At 57.3% G+C, this 2,068-nt stretch overlaps 3 annotated features.

Moving 5' to 3' along the window:
- Positions 256-830: an enhancer, noted in NCBI's record as "H3K4me1 hESC enhancer chr7:127775918-127776492 (GRCh37/hg19 assembly coordinates)". NCBI's record gives its function as "activates a minimal SCP1, AML or CMV promoter by ChIP-STARR-seq in naive H9 embryonic stem cells {active_cell/tissue: H9 hESC(naive)}" and the evidence as "EXISTENCE:reporter gene assay evidence [ECO:0000049][PMID:30033119]".
- Positions 256-955: a biological region, named in NCBI's record as "H3K4me1 hESC enhancer GRCh37_chr7:127775918-127776492".
- Positions 766-955: a silencer, noted in NCBI's record as "silent region_18601". NCBI's record gives its function as "represses an Ori minimal core promoter by ATAC-STARR-seq in GM12878 lymphoblastoid cells {active_cell/tissue: GM12878}" and the evidence as "EXISTENCE:reporter gene assay evidence [ECO:0000049][PMID:35858748]".

Genomic DNA, 2,068 nt, shown 5'->3' with positions numbered 1-2,068 from the left:
CGCCCGGCCGGTTAACAGGGATTTGAACCTGGGGTTGTCACTGTCATCACCACAGAGGAGGGGGAGCTGGTTAAGGACCCCTCCTGGAGAAGGGGGTCCTAACGTCGCGGTGCTGCAGGGCGTACATAGCTCATGCATTCAGTCCGTGAAAACTTGTTAAGGGCCTGCTGTGCTTCAGAGGCAAAGCCCACCCCTCCTACGGCTGACTCCCGCAGTGGCGCCTCCTAGAAGCACAAGCAGCCAGAAAAAGCCTGTGTCTGAGCAAGGAGGGTGGGATGTGTGCTGCGGGAGGAGGGTCCCTGCCCCGGCGCCGTCTCACGTTTTCTCTGACCAAGTCTTTCTCCTTAACCCGTAACTCTGGGGCGGGAGGGGGAGGTGTAGAAACGGGCACTAGGTAGGACGTTCTCTGGGATCTGGGGCCATCCTAGCTGAGCCTCGGGCCAGAATCGGAACCCAGGGCGCGGGGACCCGCTTCCTCCCCACCCCACCACGCCCCTTCTGTCATTTATTCCCCAAATAGGCGGCCTAAAGCCACCCGCGTGCGTCGCCCTCTTCCTCCGGGCTTCTTTTAATATGTCAGCATCAGAGCGCCTGCGGGGGCGTAACTTGGGAAACCTCTAACGTCGCGATGCGGCAGGGCTTACATAGCTCACGCATTCAGTCCGTGAAAACTTGTTAAGGGCCTGCTGTGCTTCAGAGGCAAAGCCCACCTCTCCTACCGCTGCGGTTTGCTGGGGACCCACGGGACAGGGAACCCGGGCGCCCCAGGGTCCGCCCCGCCACTCTTTGTGCCCCGCGGCCTCCCGCTCCCGCTGGGGCGCCGCCGCCGCCGCCGAGCTCGCGCGCCCCCTCGTGGGCGCTCCCGGCACTGCGCGGTGCCGCCCCAGCCGGAAGCACGTGGAGGCTCCCTCCAGATCCAGGGGAGCAGGCGGGGGCCTGGACAAGCCTTCCACTTGGCTCGGTCCCTGGGACCCCTTCCCACGCTCTAGAAGCCTAGCCCCTCCATCCTCCTTTTGGCCCGGACCCCCAGCTCTTCCCCTCTCACGCTCTCGCCGCTGTTTCTAGGTCCCCGGGAACTCCTCCGGAGCTCCCGGCGGTGCAGGCGGGAGGTGGAAACGGGGGTGGGGGGCACCCAGACCCCCATTCCAGGGAAACCTCTCACAGCCTGCTCCTGGCTTGAGGAGGTCCCAGGGGGAGCTTCTGTGGCTGCTGAAGACAGGGGCTTTTCCAAATATGACCCCAAAGTGAGGCTTCTGCTTTCAAGGTCTCATTCATATTCTCTCCCCTCTCCCCTCTCCTAGCAGGATCAGCGCTGGCGTGATTTCCCAGGAGAGGGGGAAGGGCCGTCACCTGGCCTTTAAAGACTCACCACATGGATAATCGTGATGAGGGCGAAGCACTAGGTAGGAGGGTTTTCACCACGGTGTTTCATCAAATGAGAATGATCTAGATAAACCAGGAGTGCAACCAACTCCAAAGAAAAAGATGATTTGAAGAACAAAAGTGTGTGTGTGTGTGTGTGTGTGTGTGTGTGTGTGGAGAGAGAGAGAGGGAGACGCTCTAATATCCTTAGAAAGATTCAGAAAATTTTATAGCCACAGAACAAGAACAGAATGCTTTTCAAAGGGGAACAAGTAAGAATTTAGAAAATTAGAAAGGTGACTGCCAAAATAACAGGCTCCGAAATCCACGTAGACAATCCATCCAGCTCTTCCACCTCTTGATCCCTGGTCTCTTCTCCAGTAATTTCTACCCCCGCGCGGTAGCCGCTCCACGGTCATGTCATAGACGTTGTCCTTATTAATTCCCACATCCCTCCAAAATTTACATTTCAACCATCCCGCTCGACCACCACCACCTCCTAAATTTTCATCAAGCTCCCGCTGGTGTTCTGACGCACGTGTTTCTAATCGCTCCCTTGCATACATCCTTCACTTTCGGTGTCCCGCCCCCTCACTGTATTTTCCTAACCAAACTCCAACTTTGATTAAATCCAGAGCTTCGCGTCTTCCACACCCTCCTGAGGCACTGAAGAGAGCTGACTGTCGGTACTTCTTTTTTTTTTTTT

This window comes from Homo sapiens, chromosome 7, assembly GCF_000001405.40.
Source record: "Homo sapiens chromosome 7, GRCh38.p14 Primary Assembly".
In the NCBI taxonomy this organism is placed as follows: domain Eukaryota; kingdom Metazoa; phylum Chordata; class Mammalia; order Primates; family Hominidae; genus Homo; species Homo sapiens.
The sequence above is the reverse complement of the archived record's forward strand: the minus strand, read 5'-3'. Positions and strand labels throughout refer to the sequence as shown.